Raw genomic sequence first — 21,392 nt, forward strand, 5'->3', positions numbered from 1 at the left:
TGAAATAAAAAGAAAATTATTTCATCTAATCCTGATTAGATCTGTTGTTCAAATATTGACAAATATCATAATAATGTCTATAATAGCAAAATAATCCATTTCAGATATATGCTTCACATTTAATTGTCCTAAGTTTCCTTCAGTCTAAATAAGTATCTCAGACTTTGACACTTAAAAGGCATTTCTTAGATAGGGACTCCATTAAATCAATCAGTAAGTACCATCAGAACGTTTATTAGGAGGCTGGTAAGAGGTGTTCTTTCCATGGGACATCCCCTTAGTAAGAGAGAAATGAGTCCCAGTTCTGTCCTTACTCTTTCCCCTCCCATTTACTTGATTTACTTGTTCTCCAGGAAAAGGCAACATGAACTCCTATAATAAAGATAACAAAGAATGATGAGTTATTTATTGAGTTACAATCTTCCTTTCTCATCTGATGCTCATGGTTGGTGTTCCTCTGGTTGCTGACAAAATTTTATGAAAAGTTTTATGTTTGTTTTCTCCCCTCATTGTAACTTATAAAACTATACTATAAGAGGGCAAAGGCCAGTCCTTGCAGTACCATGCTATAGAAACATTAGTATTTTATTATTAGGCCAACTTTTTGAGAAAAATTTGGATTATCACGTGGCAAGTGGCTAAGAAGCATTTGGACCTGCAAGAGAGATTTTTCAAAGTCTCTTTGGTATATTTATTTCTATGCCTACATAGTATCTAGAATATACATATAAAGATTTTTTTTTTACCAATTTTCATTTGTCTCCACCATCATTGTAGAAGTCTTCATTCTCTTTATGTGGATAATCATTCTAGTGATGTGAGAGATAGTCTCTCCCTTTCTCTATGTCTAAACAAAGAATTAAAAATTTTCATATTAAGTGGCCTTATACACAATTCTTAGAGGGTCTGATATGGTGGTGGATGAGTAATGAGGGGAAATTCCATTACTTTTATGATGGAAATGGTTCCATTCAGTGGTCCTTTTATTGAGAAGGAAAATTTTTCTATTTTGGTTTAAGGTTCAAAGAAACGAATAATTAAGAATTTTTTCCCTATTTTTTAAAATAAGCTTCTCTTTATAGTACTGTATTCCTTAACAGAACGGACAAATAGCAGAGTTCATTTAGAAAGAGAAAGATCTTGAAATACATAAATGTTCTGTTAATGTGATTATAACTTGTTTTTGTACCGTTGAAGGTACTTAATGCTTTTAGACAGGCATAGTAAGTTATTTTAATAAATACACTAATAAAAAAGAAGAGAGCTTTCAATTTGTATATCATGCCGAGCTGAAATCTGTATTTAAATGCATCTGGGGCTTTCTTTGCTAGATGGCTAGCAATTAATCATGATTATAGTATTTGATTGCCTATCATCTATAGGCTATTACAGAGAGACTGTTTTCTAAGTACCATAGTGTTCCCAAACAAAACTGAGGGTTGGGCTTCTATTTCTCATGGGCCAATAACGAGATACACATGAACTAAGGAGGAAGCGAGTGTGTATTTCTGCAACTGGTTACAGGGAAAGGGCCTGGAAATTATCACCATGCCAATTCAAAATTACAAAGTTTTCCAGAGGCAATATACCTTCTAAGCGATACGTCTACATGTAAGTGTGCATTCATCTAAAGACATAAGTGATTAACTTCTTTTAATCTATAACTAAGGTCTGAGTCTTGAAGACCTTCCTCTGGAGCCTCTGTAAATTTACTTAATCTAAATGGGTCCAGGTGCTGGGTGATTAACCTTATCTTGTCTCCTGCTAAATCATGGAGGTTTGGGGAGTTCCTTCAGACCCCTAATAAACTTGTTTGTGGAAGCCTGGGGAGTTTCTTCAAACCTGCAATAAAACATGTTTAATTCTAAATTGGCCCTGTTAAGAATTTCTTCGTTATTTTGTCATGCTTTAAGGCCCAGGAAAGACCTAGGCAAAACCCTTGGTGGGCTTTTATTACATTCTAGCCTTTGAATAAGGGCAGTGACTTTTAATATTTAACTTAACCACTAAGTCAATACTGGAACAGTTGTTATGGAGGCCTGCATTAGTGAGACCTGGCCTGCTACAATAGGACCCACATTAATTGACATATAATTTGATTCTGATTTTCATCATAATGTAGACTAGACTTCTGGATACAAACACACACTCAAACACACACACACAGAGAGAGAATGAGAGAGAAGGAGAGATGTATACTATAAAAATAAAGTTATCTCAGGAAAATATCAATAATTTAATGACCTAAAACAGAAAATTAAAAATCCCTCCATATAAGCACTGTTGTAAATCCATTTAAAACTAAAACATTATTTTAGTACTGTCCTAAAAGCAGTTACTGGTACCACTAAAAAATATTCAAAAGTGACTCAGAATATGAAGATGACCCTTAGCCACATACATAGATTCATAATTGGAGTTTTACTCAAGACACACATAATATACATCCATTTTCAGCCTCATTTAACAATAGTGCTCTAGTATGTCTGAAGTCATATTCCTGTCTCATAGCTATTAATTTTGCACACAATTTCCAATCTGTATAAAACCTGTATTCTATTTCTAGTCTATTACAAATACATTGTTTAGAGAATTGGTATAAACCTAATGCTACTGACCTTAACATGATAATAGAACATTTTCACCACTAGGATTATTTTAATTCAACAGAGTATACAAGAAGAGAATCAGTTTAAAAGAAAAAAATACACAAAATGATAATATTATAAGAAGACAGATAAAGAAATAAGGAGGGAAGGAAAGAAGAGAGGGAAACAAATAGGCAGAAAGAGAGAAAGGAAAAAAGGAATAGCTGCAGTAATTCAGTGAGAATACCAAGGCATAGAAATAAGCATATATATTAAGACAATGTAATGCATGTTAAATACTAGGGTAAAAAGAATTTAATTATTAGGCCATTACATGGAAAACACAATTTACTCAAGAACATTTGGCAACATTCATTGAGTTAATATCAAGCAAATCAAAGATCCCAAGTCATTCAATTTTTGCATTTCCATCTGAAACTTCAGGTATGATGGAAATAAACCAAAGAGCTTCTAAGTAAAATCATTTTACACTCTTTTTTTTTTTTATCAAACGTTTTTATGTGTCTGTGCGTGCGTGTATGTGTATGTAAAAGTCAATATAAATTTGGGACATTTTACTTTCCATGATTATTGTTAATAAGACTGACAATCACCACCCATTTGAAATGAAAGCCCTCATCATTGTATCCTCAAGAAGAATTCTGATAATTTTTATGCCTGAGAAGGGATAGATTACTTAGCTGCTCACTCCTCCCTGGTGAATTTCATTAAAATAAAAAAAATAAAGTAAATATGTGTAATGGTTGGGAAAGAATATATATAGGAGGTAATATAGTTAACATCATTTAGGAGTATATGTTTTCAACATTCCATGAGTCCCCTGTGAAATTGCTGTAAATCCTAAACATATGTTAATTCCAATCCTAAATCAGGAGACCTTCTCGAATAAGATTATGTATTATTTATAGCACTGTTACTCAAACACATAAAATGATTTTAAGATTATAGCATGGTTTCTGATAAAACAACCAACCAAGCAAAATTCATAAAGATTTTTAAATAATTGGTTAGCTGGCATTTCATAAATATGAAATGTAAGATTAATTATGAGTTTTCATTTGAATTCCTATTCTATCAACTTAACAAATCTAGATTATGCTGCTAAACCAAGCAAATTCAGTAGCTTAAAACAACCTAAATTCATTTATTGCACAGTTGACATGACATTGTGAGTTGGCTGGGAACTCTACTCCATACTATTACCTCATACTTTATAATGAAGGGATCATTTTATAAAAATGTTTATTTTATATGATATGATGTGAAGTCATTTAATGTCAGCTTGAGCTTATATTCAGGCAAATCCCAAATCTCAGACAATTGCTTATTCAAGTTACATTGTGTAGAATTAAAAAAATAGTAACATACTGCTCTAATTTGGTGAAAATTAAAGTGAGAGTCAGGAAATAAGTCATGTCAGTAAATAAGACTACATAACCCATACAGTAGATATTAATATTTATTTTGCAGACAAAAATTAAGTTGATTGTAAGTTAATTTGAAGTATTTCATCAAAGTTTTCTGAACATAATGATGAAAAAATATATAATTTCAATGGAAAAAACATATAAAAGATATCTGAATGAATAAACTGATCTCATATTTTAAAAATAATGTTTTATATTATATTAAATGTTTTCATTGATAATAAAATTTTATTAGTAAAATATTCAGTAATAAATTTTACTAGACATTAAAAACACAAGGATGAGTAAGATGTAGGCATATTTCTTTTCCTCAACAATTTTAATTTTATAAGATAAAATAACTTAGAAAATCATTTGAGATTTTGACAAGTTTTATAAAGGATGCTGTCACTGATAAAGATGAGGGTGAAGAAGCTATTTTAAAGAGAATGACAAGGGGACCTCAGTATTGTAGTGACATTTAAGGCTGATACCTAGAAGATGAGACTAAGTCATTTGTTGAAAGAGACAAGAGTAAAGCATAAGGGGAAAAACTCAGCTGGAGACATTGATGTGCTCTACAAACTATGAAAAAGCCAGAACTGACCATTGGTTTTAGATGCAACAGATGAAGCGCTTAAAAGAGTTCACTCTCATTCTTACAGAACAGAGGAAGCTGAACAAACGTCAAAACAAATGGCATTTCTTGGATCCACCTGAGAACTGAAGTTGCAGGGGAACTGCCATCTCAATGCGCAGAGAGAAAGGTATATCGAGAGAGATAAAATAACCACGATCTGCTTACACGGAGTAGTGCGCACTGGAGCCATAGAAGGGCACTTAAACAGCAATATTGATGAATTACTGCAGGCCGAACGTGGACTAGTATGGCAGTGAGAATCTGCTGAAGGTCCCAGGCCCAAGGGAGCCTTCACACTTCCACACCAGGATTTTTTGGTGAGGATTCAAAAGATCACTTGTGATTATGGCAGAAGAAGAGGAAGATAAATCTTTGTGAAATTCACTCAGAACCTTCTATATTATTCCAGGTATAAGGACTTTGCCCAGTTCTGAAACCTTATTCCTGCCCGGAAAGGAAATTTCTTCTCCCTTCAGCTATCTCTTGCCTTCCCTTCTCACCTGAGTGAATGGTTTACGGGGCTCAGGGATTTAAGGAGGTAGACTGGCTGGAAAGGATGTAGCCAGGGAACTAAACGGGGGCAGAAGCAAGAAAGCTATGCAATTGAATAAACACATCAAAGTCACAATCCCAAGATAGAACCCACAAAAAACGAGATTTAATCAGAAGATTACAGAACATTCCTCTTTTCTGACACCTTATCACCACGCCAAGAGGGCTCAGAATGATAACAGCAGATTACATCTGAAAGAGCTGTAAGGCACAAACTGTCTTTGAGGAAGAGGTACATAAGAAGACCATAGTCCCGGAAAAAAACAAACAAACAACAACAAAAAAAAGTTAAAGAGCCCTGGAAAACTTGGAAGCTTCTGGCACCTACAGGAGAGTTTACAATTTTAGCTGCTGAATGAAGAGACTGTTTCAATAAGGAAGATGTGAACTTTTTTTAAAGGTGATAATGAGTTGAGTGAGATAACCTAATATGTCCAGTGAATGCGAAAAATGGACATGATAGGTTACCTTGACCAAAGTACAGTAATTTCACTGATATGGTGAAGATTGGAAATGAATTGATAAACACTTGCCTACTTTATGGTAAACCCATTCAACACCCTAAGATAGCCTGACATTTTACAAGGTGTTAAGTTGAATCATGTATATAGAATGATATAAGAAATCCAAAAATAGCAAATAAAAACTGATTTCTGTGGTAACAAGAAGCAGCTAGTCTTTTAATATTAAAACACTTAATAACAAATGGTTTTTCTAATTTTCCTTTATACAATAAATAAAATGAAGAACTATACATAGAAAAATATATATATAATATAAAAAATAAAATACTATAACTTAAAGATGAAACTTGAAGTTATAATATTGATAAAAGTATGTGATCATAATCAGCAATTTTGAGAGGATACACTAAATAATAACAATTCAGTTTTTTTATTTAAATACTTGATAAATATAAAAATGTTATTTTATCTTTTTTTCTTCTACTTTTTCAAAATATTGACTGTGCATGAATGGAAAGCTCTATATGCATGTATAGAATCAGATAAGTTTTATTTACTGAACACTGAGGCTGCTGAGAATTTTCCTGATTATGCCAAGATGAAGAACATTCTTTAGTTAAACAATAGACAACTAAAAGTATAAGCTTATCCATTTTAGCTACACAATTTTCAATACATTTTCATTTTTACAACCATAAACACGTCCTCTTCACTACCTATATAACACTTGAGAAAAGAAAATTGATATTTATTTTGAAGAATTTTACATATAAATTTTGCGGTGAAATATGTCATAACTATCAATCAAATCAAAACAAAATCAGAATTCATCTAATTGTCTACTGTCATATAGATATGACCTCAGTTGCTGATGATATCGTTTAAATTTGACTTGACATATCATGTTTACAACAGACACATATTAAAAACAATTCACTTATTTTATTAGTCTATATATGTGTGTGTACATGCATGGTCATACATGTGTTTGTAGGTTATGCAATTTAGGTAGCAAGATCATCACAAATAATTTGGATAATTCCAATATTATTTAGTGAATCTATGTCTTTATATGACTATTAGGGGAAAAATGTGTCTTTATTGTGGTCATGCTAATATTTCTTGCTATTACTCTATATAACACTGAGGTATAGAAATATGACTATAGAATATATAAAAACAGGTTTTCAATATATACATATATAGGTTTGGTAGGTCTATAAATATGCAGAAGTGGGAGGATATTGTAAAACATTGATTTATCATCCATTTAGAAAGTCATCTTTTAATTTACTCATATGTTTTGTCAGGTATAGTAAAGAAAGGTTTAATTGTTGGAGCTTTATTTCTGAAACAGATATGCCACAAAAGGTAGTAGTTCAAACACATAGAAGTTTGTCTCACTCTTAAGACAGTCCAAATGGGTGCTTATGTTAATGAACATGTCCTTTCCACACAGTGATTCAAATACCCAGGTTTCTTCCATTTTTGTATCATCACCATACCTAGGATCCCAGAAACCTCTTAAAACATGTAGGAAAGAGAATGAAGAAGATGGAATTTTAAAAAAACATAACCTCTTGGCCTGGAAGAAATACATATAATGTCTGCTTCCATTCTGCTGGTAATAACAAGTAACATGGCCACACCAATTATAAGAGGATAGAGAGTTCAGCATAGGGGAAACTGATTTAGCTGAGAAGTTACTTACCAGACAGCTCTATACATTTCGGAAGGGATAATAGATTTTGAGCAAAAGCAGTCTTTGCCACAGTCTAACCTCTGGTCAGCAGAAACCATATTTTTCACTTTATGCGGAGATCATATACACCTACCACTTTTTCAGGAGAGTTGGCCTAAAGTAAAATCTTTTTTATGTCTCAACATTCATTATCTCTGAATTATATATATAAAATCATGTCTCACTTAATGACAGAGATACATTCTAAGAAATGCATTGTTAAGTGATTTTATCATCATATGACATCATAGAGTATACTTACACAAACCTAGATTGTATAGGCTACTACACATCTAAGCTGTATGGTATAACTGATTGCTCCTAGGCTAGGAGCTGGTATAACATGTTACTGTACTGAATACTGTAGGCAATTGTGACACAATACTAAATATTTGTGTATGTAAACATATCTAAACATACAAAAGTGACAGGAAAATATAAAATATTTTTTAATAATATACCTGTAGAGGGCATATATCATGAATGGAGCTTGAAAGACTGGAAGTTGCTCTGAGTGAGCCAGTGAGTGAGTGATGAGCGAATGTGAAGGCCTCAGACATTACTGTCCACTACTGTAGACTATATAAACACTGTATACTTAGGGTACACTAAATTTGTCAAACACGTTTTTCTTCAATAATAAATTGATCTTAGCTTCCTATACCTTTTTTATTCATAAATGTTTAAATTCTTCGACTCTTTTGCAATAACATTAGCTTAAAACACACACACATTGTACAGTCGTACAAAATATTTTCTTTTTTTATATTCTTATAAGCTGTTTCTGTGTTTAATTTTTTATTTTTATTTTGTAAACTTTTTTGTTTAAAACTAAAATACAAACACACATATTAGTCTAGGCCTACACAGGATCAGGATCATCAATGTTATTGCCTTATGCGTCTACATCTTGTCCGACTGAAAGGCCATCAGGGACAGTAACACATATGGAGCTGTCATCTCCTGTAACAATGCCGTCTTCTGGAATACTACCGTAGAACCTGTCTGAGGCTGTTTTACAGCTTTTAACTTTTTTATAAATATAAGTAGAAGGAGAAATAGTATACTCCAAAATAATCATATAAATAGTGTAGTAAATAAATAAATACATAGTATAGTATATACATGAACAGAATAATAATAATGGTTTATTTTTTGTCAAGTATTATGTACTGTACATAATTGTATGTGCTATAATTTTAGACTACTGGCAGTGCAGTAGGTTTGTTTCCAATAGCATCACCACAAACACATTAGCAATGCTTTGTGCTATGACATTATGTTGGCTATGACATCAATAGGTGATAGAAATGTTTTAGCTCCATTAATAATCTTATATGCCCAGAATTGTATATGCCATTCATTATTAAATGAAATGTTGTTATGTGGTGCATAGCTATACTTGTGTCTCTCTATCAGGTATAGATTTGTTTCTCTATGTTTTGCTAGTCTGTAAACCAAAAGACAAGCAAACTGCCCTACCTTTATCCAAGCCATTATTTTTCAGAATAGTGACTAAAAAAAAAACACAATTAGCACCCAGACTAAATAACAGAAGAATAAAGGCACACAGTAATAATTAGTTGACGGCAAAGACGCAAACCTACTGGGCAGGAAAAATGAAGACACTAACTTGGCAGAGAAGCAAGTTTTCTATTAGCTCTCAAACTGCCCTTTAAGAGGAATCCATTACCAGTCTCTAGGAAAGATACCATTTTGGGGAGCTGTGAAGCTTTCTCAATCATTTTCCAATGATCCAATTATGAAGAGCAAAAAGTATTTGAAAACTTTGAGAGTCAAAATCTTTCTAATGACTAACTCCTGGAATGGCAGAATGAGAACTTTGATAAACTTGGTGTTCCATGAAAACAACAACAACAAACAAAAAAAAAAAAAAAAAAAAAGGAAAAACAGCTAAAATTAAACTGGAAATTAAACAAAACTACAAAACAATTGAAAACTATCTTTTAACAAGAAACTACTAAACCTCGGTAAGACAGCTGTTGGTGGTGTTTTAAATTGGGCCTATTCTTGTCTTGCATCCCTCTTCAGCTTCCTGGCATGGTAACTGTGAAAAGCTCACAGCTGTGCGAGGGTATTACAGCTATTTTTTACTCAGAGTTCAGCTCAAGAAAAAAATCCCCATCCCTAAGATATTACCAATGTCTATAGATATATGCTGACAATATTGCAGCTGTCTAAGTCTATGATTTAAGATGAGGCCCACAAGATCCTGGAGAAAAATTAAAATAAATATGTAGAAAATTAGATGGTGATAGAAAATTTTGAAACTCTTCAATATGTTCCTGAAGATCTAGAAGGCTGTGTATATACACTTACCTGTGTACATGCCCAATAAGACAGGGAAAAGCCGGGCACGGTGGCTCAAGCCTATAATCCCAGCACTTTGGGAGGTTAAGGTGGGTGGATCACCTGAGGTCAGGAGTTCAAGACCAGCCTGGCCAACACAGTGAAACCCTGTCTCTACTAAAAATATAAAAAAATTAGCCAGGCATGGTAGTGGGTGCCTGTAATCACAGGTACTCAGGAGGCTGAGGCAGGAGAATTGCTTGAATCCAGGAGATGGAGGTTGCAGTGAGCCAACATGGTCCTGCTGCACTCCATCCTGGGTGACATAGTGAGACTCTGTCTCAAAAAAAAAAAAAAAAAAAAAAAAAAAAGACAGGGAAAATGAGAAGGAAACAGTTGTGCACTCCTTGCTTTCCTTGAGATCCTGAAAAGCAAGAAGACAAAAATAAGAGTGTCTTGTAAACAATCTGAAGGTTGAAGGTGTGCCTTCACACATTAATCTACTTGTCCATGAAAGAAGACACACAGGTACGGTATGTAAGAAAATATTCTGCATGAACGTAGGCTAACCACCAAATTGTCAGGACCTAGAGATTAATCTAAATAAGCCAAAATTAAAAATGAAAATAAGAAGAAGAAAAAGAAAAAGCTATCTGTGAAGTCAATGACTAAGGACTGCAAGAAATACAGAATCTAAAGAATCCAGGAAGGTCAAAAACAAATAAATAGAAAGGAGAAAAACAACAGCAACAAAAAAAAAATTTAGCAAAACCACAGAACCTCTCTGCAAGCCAGAGGAATCTGATTCCAGAGTTGTTAAAATAAATTCTCTAAAGTTCATTTTTCAACCAAAAATATTACGAGAAATGCAAAATAATAGAATATATATAACAAGTTGAGAAAAAAATCAGCCAACACAAAATGTCCCTAAGTAGGAATAGATATTAGACTTAAAAGGCAACAAATTGTAAATCAGATTTACAAACATATTTAAATAACTAAAAGAAACTATAGATAAACAAATTAAAGGAGGAATGACAATTATGTCTCACCAAATATATACCAATAAACAAACCAAATGAAAGTTCATTCAGAGGTCAACAGGTAAAGTAACTACATATTTTCAAAAATTACTAGAGGCAGGGCGTGGTCTCATGCCTATAATCCCAGCACTTTGGGAGGACAAGGCAGGCATATCACGAGGTCAGGAGTTCGAGACAAGCTTGGTCAATATGGTGAAACCCCATCTCTACTAAAAATACAAAAATTAGCCGGGTGTGGTGGTGCATGCCTGTAGTCCCAGCTACTTGGGAGGTGGAGGCAGGAGAATTGCTAGAACCTGGGAGGAAGAGCTTGCAGTGAGCCGAAATTGTGCCAATGCACTCCAGCCTGGGCAACAGAGCGAGACTCCTCTCAAAATAAATACATAAATAAATAAATAATAAAAATACTACAAAAGCTAACAAATAGATTTGATCTGAAATAAAAATCAGTGAACTTTAAGATAGGTCAATAGAAATTATCTATTTTAATTATTAGAATGAAAAATAAAAGAAGTAAAATAAAAAGAGCCTCAGTGAATCTATTAAACCATCAAGGATACCAACAAAGGGAGTTTAGAGAATGAGAGAGGGAAGAGAAGAGGGCAGAAAATGATTTAATGAATGAAAAATATTTTTCTATTTTTCCAAGATGTTGAGTAACCCAGGAAGAAAAAATATAGTGCAAAAAGATCCACACTTAGGCGACATAACAGTCAAGCAGACAAAAGTCAAAGACAAAGAAAAATTGAAAGCAGCAAGACAAAAAGTTTTGTCCCATAGATGGAATTCTCAGTAAGATTAACATTTGACTTCTCTTCAGAAATCATGGAAACCAAGAGACAGGAAAATGAGATCTTGAATTGTTGAAACATATTTGCAACCTGGAATTAAAAATTCAGCAAAACACTTCTTTAAATAAATGATAAAAAAGTAAGGCATTCGAAGATAAATAAAAACTCATGGAATTTTTTGCTAGTAGACCATCCCTATAAAAAATACTAAGAGAGTCCTTCAGGCTAAAATTAAAGAGAACTAGACAAAGACACAAATTTACATTTAAAAAACGAATACCTAAATAAAGATAACTTCACAGAGAAATGTAGAAAACAGTATAAAAGTATGTTTGTAACACTTTTCTTCTATTTTATTTATAAGAAAACTGCATACAGCAATAATTGCTTATCTCTGTTGATTGCTTTATATTGTGTAAATATGAATAAGTGGGGTGTATTCCAGAAATACAAGACTAGTGCAATATTTAAAAATCAATCATTGTAATATAACACATTAATAAAATAAAAATAAGATCACCTCAATAGACACAGCAAAAAATTTAACAAAATCAAATACACTTTCATGATTTAAAAATACCCTCAAGCAAATGTGAATAGAAGATAACTTTAAAAATCTGTATACAGCATCTATGAAAAGCTCACAGCTGAAATCATAATTAGTGAAAGAAAAGCTTAATGCTCTTATATTATGATAAGATATGAGACAAGAATGTTCATTCCTGCTGCTTATATTGAATATTTTAATGGCAGTTCTAGGTAGTAAAGCTAGGTTAGAAAGGAAAAGTCATCCAGTTTGTAAAGGAAGAAATAAAATTATTTCTCTTTGCAGTTGTCATGATTTTGTTGGTAGAAAAATCTCAAAGAAAATAGTAAAATACTGACAACTAAGAAATGAGTCATACAAGATACAAAATCAATATAAAAATAAAATTTATTTCTATACATAAGCAATGAATAGTTTTAAAATGAAATTAACAAAATAACTTATTTGTAATAACAGCAAAAACAATAAAATGCTTAGGAATGCATTTTAAAGAAGAAATGTAAGATGTGCACACTGTAAACTACAAAAAATTTGCCAGAAGTAGGAGAAATAATTGAGTAAAAAGATCTCAGTTAATGAATTGAAAGTCTAGTTATTGTTAGGTTAGCAATAATTTTCAAATTGATCTACAGATTATACATAATCTATGTCAAAATCTCTACTGCATTTTTGCAGAAATTAACAGCTGATACAAAATTATTTATGAAAATTCAAATTGCCAGAATAGTCAAAACAATCTTCCACCAAGAATAAAAAAGGTAGATCAATGGAATAAAATGACAGTCAAAAATCAAATCCTTAGATTTATTATCTATTGGTTTTCAACAAGGGTGTCAAGATAATTTAATAAGAAAATAATATTTTCAAAAAATGATGCTGCATCAACTAGATATACACATGCAAAGAATAAATTTGAACTCCCTGACTCACACGATGTACAAAATTAACTCAGACTGAATCATTCACCTAAATATAAGATCTGAGACTATAAAACTGTTTTAGAAACCCAGGAGTTCATCTTCCCTGCTTTATGCTCACTACCTTATCTTTCTTAGATATAAAGCCAAAAGTCCAAGTAACAAAGAGATATAAAAATAAGTGAGAATATTAATACTGAGTGTCAACTTGATTGGACTGAAGGAAAAAAAATTATTGATCCTGGGTGTGTCTGTGAGGGTGTTGCCAAAAGAGACTAATATTTGGGTTACTGGGCTGGGGAAGGCAGATCCAGTCTTAATCATGTAGGCACAATCTAACCAGTGCCAGTGAATATAAAGCAGACAGAAAAACATGAAAAGGAAATACTGGCCTAGCCTCCCAGCCTATATCTTTCTCCTGTGCTGGATGCTTCCCACCCTCGAATATCAGACTCCAAATTCTTCAGTTTTGAGAATTGGACTGGCTCTCCCTGCTCCTCAGCTTGCAGACAGCTTGTTGTGGGACCTTGCAATCATGTAAGTTAATACTTAATAAACTCCCCTTTATATATATATATCTATATGTACATATAGATATATATATGTACACACACACACACACACACACATAGTTCTGTTCCACTAAGGTAATCCTGACTGGATAACTTATATATATATATATATTATATATATATTATATATATATATAATATATATATATATATTATATATATATATTATATATATATATAATATATATATATATAAGCTCTGTCCCACTAAGATAATACTGACTAATACAGATTTTGGTACTGGTACAGATAGTGGTTCTAGAGGAACAGAATATTACAGAATATTAAGGATGGAGTTTTTTTCATTGGTTTTAGAGTTTCTGAAGTTGGTGGCTTAATATGATTAGACTCAAAAAATGCTAAGGACTCTACTTCTAACAGTATGGAGAACACTGGTAGTCCTTGATGGAAACTGTTTAGAGAGTTACGCAAAATAAATGCATTTGACACTCCTAATTCACCGCTCATGAGAGGCAACGAGTTTAGTAACTCTTTACATAATATCTTTGACCATATGTGGAGAATTTAGGAACATAATTAAGCTTGTTGGTTGCTTCCAAGTTCAGTGGACAAAGTGATGAAAGAAAATGATGCACTCAGGTATTCTGTCTCCTGGCTGCAGAAGAAGATACCGAGCCTCAGATCTGCTACAATTGCCCTTAATGACAGTCTTACCTCCTGTAGAGAAAGAGCTGAAACTATGGAAAAACAGACACAAGCTCTTAACGTGAGAGTGATTGACCTGCAATGAAAGATGCATGCACAGCCTCACCAGGTGTCTACTGTTAAATTGCAGCCATTGATTGGAAAAGAATGGGACCCTGCAAGTTGCAATGGGGACATGTAGGAGGAACCTGATGAAGCTGGGGACACTGAGCTTTTTGGTGAACCTTTTTGGTGAGAAGGAACAGCTTTCCCAACCCCAGTAGTGGCAACATTCCCTCCCTGACCCATGCTGCCATCAGCCTTTCCACCTTTGTCTGAGGAAAGAAACCCGGTACTGCCTGAGGCAACAGTGATGGCATCCCGTGAGGCAGTTGGCAAGCAAGATAATGTTGATTCTTCTCAGAAACCACCCCCAACACCTCTCTTTGCTTCTAGACCTATAACTAGATTAAGTACCAGTGGACACCTAGAGGTGAGGTTGAGAGTGTGACCCGTGAGGAGGTGCACTACACTTGAAAATAACTGTTTGAGTTATTTAAATTACATAAACAGAAATCTGGAGAACAGGCATAAGAATGAATATTAAGGGTACGAGATAATGGTGGAAGGAATATAGAGTTAGATCACGCTGAATTTATTGATTTGGGTCCACTAAATAGGGACTCTGCATTTAATGTTGCAGCTTAGGGAGTTAAAAATGGTTCTAATAGTTTATTTGCTTGGTTAGCTGAAATATGGATTAAAAGATGGCCCACTGTGAGTGAGCTGGAAATGCCTGATCTCCCTTGGCTTAATGTAAAGGAATGGATCCAAAGGCTTAGGGAGATTGGAATGATGAGGTGGATTAGTCACGTTAGACCTACTCATCCCACCTGGGAGGTCCAGAAGATATACCCTTGTCCAATGCCTTGCAAAATAGATTTGTGAGGGCAGCCCCTACATCTTCGAAGAGGCTTGTAATTGCTCTTCTCTGTATGTCAGATCTATCGGTGGGAACCACACTCACTCAACTACAAAATTTAAATATAATGGGAATAATTGGATCCCAAGGTGGCAAGGGCCGAGTGGCAGCACTCAACCATCAAGGGCAAGGTAAGCATAGCTACCATAATGGACAGCAGAGGCAAAGCAGCAATCAAAACAGTCTGACTTTTGTAGAACTCTCACATTGGCTAATTAATCACGATGTTCCTAGAATTGAAATCGACAGGAAGCCTACTACACTCCTACTTAATTTATGTAAATAGAAAACTTCTAGGTCAAATGGACAAAAGACTAATTTGAATTATAAAAACAGAGAATCATGGCCCCTCAATCAATTTCCAGACTTGAACCAGTTTACAGACCCAGAACCCCTTGAATGATGGGGAGGCTATGTCCCCTTAAGGAAGGACCCTACTACATTACCAACAATTTATGCAATGAATCTTTTTCCCATCCTTCCACAAGGACACATCTGGCCTTTTACCAGGGTAACTGTACACTGGGGAAAGGAAAATGATTAGACATTTTGGAGACTACTTGACACTGGCTCTCAGCTGACCTTGGTTTCAGGGGACCCAAAACACTGCTGTGGTCCTCCAGTTAAAGTAGGAGCTTATGAACGTCAGGTAATTAATGCAATTTTAGCTCACGTCTGACTTACAGTGGGTCCAGTGGGTCCCCAGACTCATCCTGTGGTAATTTCCCCATTGCCAGAATGAATAATTGGCCTTGACATACTGAGCAGCTGGCAGAACCCCAGATGGTCTACCTGAATGGTAGGGTGAGGGCTACTATGGTGAGAAAGGCCAAATGGAATTCATTAGAGCTGCCTCTACCTAGAAAAATAGTAAATCAAAAATAATATTGTATCTCTGGAGGGATGGTGGAGATTAGAGCCACCATCAAGGACTTGAATGACAATGGATTACGGTAAGCTTACCCAAGTGGTGACTCCAATGGTAGCTGCTGTACCAGCTGTAGTTTTATTGCTTGCACAAATTAACACATCTCCTGGTACCTTGTATGCAGCCATTGACTTGGCAAATGTCTTTTTCTCCATTCCTGTCCATAAGGCCCACCAGAAACAATTTGCATTCAACTGGCAAGGCCATTAATATACCTTTACTGTCCTACCTCAGGGGTATATCAACTCTCCAGTTTTGTGTTCTAATGTTATTCAGAGAGAACTTAATCACTTTTCTCTTCTGCAAGATATCACACTGGTCCATTACATTGATGACATCATGCTGATTGGATCCAGTGAGCAAGAATTAGCAAACACACTGGACTTATTGGTGAGACATTTGTTTGCCAGAGGATGGGAAATAAATCTGACTAAAATTCAGGGACTTTCTACCTCTGTAAAATTTCTAGGGGTCCAGTGGTGTCAGGCCTGTCAAGATATGCCTTCTAAGGTAAAAGATAAGTTGCTGAATTTGGCCCCTTTTACAGCCAAGAAAGAGGTATAACGCCTAGTGGGCCCATTGGATTTTGGAAGCAACACATTCTGCATTTCGATGTGTTACTCTGGCCCATTAATCAAGTGACCCAAAAGGCTGACGGTTTGAAGTGGGGTCCAGAAGAGGAGAAGGCTCTGCAATAACTCCAGGCTGCAGTGCAAACTGCTCTGCCACTTGGGCCATATGACTCAGTAGATCCAATGGTCCTTGAGGTATCAGTGGCAGATAGAAATGCTGTTTGCAGCCTTTGGCAGACCCCCATAGGTGAATCTCAGCGGACACCTCCAGGATTTTGGAGCAAGGCCCTGCCATCTTCTGAAGACAACTACCCTCCTTTTGAGAGACAGCTCTTGGCCTGTTACTGGCCTTTGGTGGAAAATGAACATTGAATATGGGTCATCAAATCACCATGCAATCTGAACTGCCTATCATGAACTGGATGCTTTCTGACTCATCTAGCCATAAAATGGGTCAAGCACAGCATCATTCCATTATCAAATGAAAGTGATATATACGTGATTAGGCTCGAGCAGGTCCTGAAGGCACAAGTAAGTTACATGAGGAAGTGGCTCAAATGCCCATGGTCTTTACTCCTGCCACCCTGCCCTCTCTTCTAATGGGCTCATGGGGCATTCCTTATGATCAGTTGACAGAGGAAGAGAAGACTTAGGGCCTGGTTCACAGATGATTCTGAACAATATAGAGTCACCACTCAAAAGTGGACAGCTGTAGTACTGCAGCCCCTTTCTAGGACATCCCTGAGTGGTGAAGAGAAATCTTCCCAGTGGGCAGAACCTCAAGCAGTGCACCTGTTTGTGCACTTTGCTTGGAAGGAGAAATGGCCAGATGTGCGATTATATACTGATTCATGGGCTGTAGCCAATGGTTTGGCTGGATGGTCAGTGACTTGGAAGAAGCATGATTGGAAAATTGGTGACAAAGAAATCTGGGCAAGAGGTATGTGGATGGACCGCTCTGAGTGATCAAAAACCATGAAGATATTTGTATCCCATGTGAGTGCTCACTAACGGCTGACCTCAGCAGAGGAGGATTTTAGTAATCAAGTGGATAGGGGGAACCGTTCTGTGGACAGCACTCAGCCTCTTTCCCCAGCCACCCCTGTCATCACCCAGTGGGCCCATGAACAAAGTAGCCATGGTGGCAGGGATGGAGGTTACACATTGGCTCAGCAACATGGACTTCCACTCACCAAGGCTGACCTGGCTATGGACACTGCTGAGCGCCCAATTTGTGAGCAGCAGAAACCAACACTGAGCCCTCGATACGGCACCATTCCTTGGGGGTTATCAGCCAGCCACCTGGTTGCAGGTTTATTATATTGCACCTCTTCTATCATGGAAAGGGCAGAGGTTTGTCCTCACTGAAACAGACACTTACTCTGGATATGGGTTTGCCTATCCTGCATGCCATGCTCCTACCAAGACTACCATCTATGGACTCACAGAATGCCTTATCCACCATCATGGTATTCCACACAGCATTGTCTCTGACCAAGGCACTCACTTTATGGCTAAAGAAGTGTGGCAGTGGCCTCGTGCTTATGGAATTCACTGGTCTTACCATGTTCCCCATCATCCTGAGCAGCTGGATTGAAAGAATGATGGGATGGCCTTTTGAAGTCACAATTACAACGCCAACTAGGTGACAATACTTTGCAAGGCTGAGGCAAAGTTCTCCAGAAGGCTGTGTATGCTCTGAATCAGCATCCAATATATGGTACTGTTTCTCCCTTAGCCAGGATTCACAACTCCAGGAATCAAGGGGTGGAAGTGGAAGTGGCACCACTCACCATCACCTCTAAAGATCCACTAGCAAAATTTTTGCTTCCTGTTCCTGCGACCTTACATTCTGGTGGCCTAGAGGTCTTATTTCCAGAGGGAGGAAGCCTGCCACCAGGAGACACAACAATGATTCCATTAAACTGGAAGATGAGATTGTCACTCAGACACTTTGGGCTCCTCCCACCTTTAAGTCAACAGGATAAGAAGGGAGTTATAGTGTTGGCTGGAGTGATTGACCCGGACTCTCAAGATGAAATCAGTCTACTGCTCCACAACGGAGGTAAGGAAAGGTATGCATGGAATACAGGAGATCCATTAGGGCATCTCTTAGTTTTACCATGCCCTGAGATTAAAGTCAATGGAAAACTACAATAGCCCAATCCAGTCAGGACTACAAAAGGCCCAGACCCTTCAGGAATGAAGGTTTCTGGCCACTCCACCTGGAAAAAAACCATGATCTGCTGAGCTGATTGCTGAAAGCAAAGGGAATACAGAATGGGTAGTAGAAGAAGGTAGTTATCAACACCAGCTATGACCACATGACCAGCTGCAGAAATGGTGACTGTAATTGTCATGAGTATTTCCTCCTTCTTTTGTTAAAAACATGCTTGCGCATGTATACACTTGTACTAAGAAGTTATCTTCATTTTATTTCCTTTTTCCTTTATCATGTAACATGAGATCTGTTGACTTTATATCAGTATTTAAATAATGTTAATATTATGTAGTAGTATGTGTTGGGGATTGGTGTGTTTCTGGTTACATGAAGGATAGTAGTATTATATTAGGCATAATTATGACCTTATTATTGTCTTTATTTGAAGATTATGTATGATCTCAGGAGATATGTATGGGTTGAAGTTGACAAGGGGTGGACTTGTGATGGTTAATACTGAGTGTCAACTTGACTGGATTGAAGGATACAAAGTATTGATCCCGGGTGTGTCTGTGAGGGTGTTGCCAAAAGAGATCAACATTTGAGTCAGTGGGCTGGGGAAGGCAGATTGACTCTTAATCTGGTGGGAACAATCTAATCAGCTGCCAATGAATATAAAGTAGGCAGAAAAACGTGAAAAGGAGAGATGGGCCCAGCCTCCCAGCCTACATCTTTCTCCCATGCTGGATGCTTCCTGCCCTCCAACCTCAGACTCCAGGTTCTTCAGTTTTGGGACTCGGACTTGCTTTCCTTGCTCCTCAGCTTGCAGACAGCCTATTGTGGGACCTTGTGACTGTGTTAATGCTTAATAAACACTTAATAAACTCATATATATATATATATATATATATAAAACTCCAATTATTTCTGTCCCTCTAAGATAACCCTAATACGATAAGGAATATTGACTAGATTAAAATTTGAAAATTTTGTACTTAAAAAGACATTAAAAAGTTAAAAAAACTCAAAAATAAAAGAAAATATTTGCAAATCTTATATCTGATAAAACATGTATATCTGGAATATGTAAATAATTCTTACAAATGGAGAATGAAAGATAACCCAGTTAAAAATCAACTTTAAATAGAAATTATTCCAATGATATATTAAGGAAATGCAAATGAAAACCACAAGATACCATTTCATACCCACTAGGATGACTATAAGCAAAAATACAAAACAGATGTCGGTGAAGATATGGAGAAATAGGAATTCTCATGCATTGCTGGTAGGAGTATAAACTGATGCAGCTGTTTCAAAAAAACGGTTTGGCAGTTCTTCAAAAGGTAAACATAATTACCATATGACTAAACAATTCTATTCCTAGGTCCACACTCTAATAAAATAAAAAATCTCATAAAAACTTCTACGTGAATGTCTTTAGAAGCATTATGCATAATAGTGTAAAAAAATCAAATGTTCCTCAGTTCATGAATGAATAAATAAAATGGGATGTAGCCATAAAATGGAATATTGCTCAGAAATAAAAAGGAAGTACTGAGACATGCCACATGAATAAAATTTGAAAAAATTGTGATAAGTGAAAGAAGGATTCCAATATATAAAATGTTCAGAATAAACACAGATATTCAAAAAGAAAGTGCATCATCAGTTTCCAGGGTCTGAGGGAATAAAGAATGACTTCTAATTGGTACAGGGTTTCTCTTTTGAGTGATGAGATGCCTTAAAATTTAAATGTGATAATGATTGGGTAACGCAATACAAGTAAGACAAACCACTTTAAAACAATTTCATGTTTTTCTATTTCAAATCATATCTCAAAAACGATCTTTTAAATGTAATATAATGACATTCTCAGTAGCCTTGTTTTATATAATATAGTTTTAAAAATAAAATATTTATATTTGCAAGTTATTTTATTACTAATATTTTTAAATACTTTTTTTACAGTTAAAAATATTTCTAAGGTGTGCTCATGGTGTTTTTAATCAATGCTATTTTCTTAAGTAACATTGATGTATTTGCTTCTAGGTAGTCCTCTATTTTTGTAACAACATCCAGAGTTCTTTGGGATCCATAGTTTTTATATGCTTTGTTTCTTTTCTTATACACCCTTCTGCCTCTCTATATAAACTGAATATGAACTTTCTCTAAGGCATCTGAAACAGAAGACTTTTGGGGAAGGCAACATACTTAATTTAATCTATATTGCGGGACAAAGTTTCTGTGTCTGAGAAATGGAAAACATTCTTTGCCACTTAAAGCCTATGTCAGTTTTATAGCCTATCGTTCGAAATCCAGATAGTCACCTTCTCCAACCTTTCCAGACCATTACTCTTTTCTTTCATACCCCTAATTTTACATGAAATATTTCTTTCCACCTGTATATTCCTATAAGCAATACACAAAGCCAACACACAGTAACATTATATATGTTTTTTTTTTTTTTTTTTTTTTTTTTTTGAGATTGAGTCTTGCTCTGTCGCCTAGG

General features: G+C 35.5%; 1 long non-coding RNA gene across 1 annotated transcript, besides 1 other annotated feature; it reads right to left on the bottom strand.

The window, feature by feature from the left end:
• Nucleotides 1-218: 218 nt before the first annotated feature.
• On the bottom strand, nucleotides 219-7,558 carry LINC01680 (long intergenic non-protein coding RNA 1680). The gene is made up of 2 exons (NR_146892.1): nucleotides 7,383-7,558; nucleotides 219-372 (listed from the first exon to the last, which is right to left on the bottom strand). It is a non-coding gene; the product is annotated as a long intergenic non-protein coding RNA 1680 (long non-coding RNA).
• Nucleotides 5,366-5,566: a silencer, noted in NCBI's record as "peak596 fragment used in MPRA reporter construct". NCBI's record gives its function as "represses an SCP1 promoter by STARR-seq MPRAs in K562 erythroleukemia cells {active_cell/tissue: K562}" and the evidence as "EXISTENCE:reporter gene assay evidence [ECO:0000049][PMID:32103011]".
• Nucleotides 7,559-21,392: the final 13,834 nt, after the last annotated feature.

The sequence above is a fragment of the Homo sapiens genome, chromosome 1, assembly GCF_000001405.40.
Source record: "Homo sapiens chromosome 1, GRCh38.p14 Primary Assembly".
NCBI lineage: Eukaryota > Metazoa > Chordata > Mammalia > Primates > Hominidae > Homo > Homo sapiens.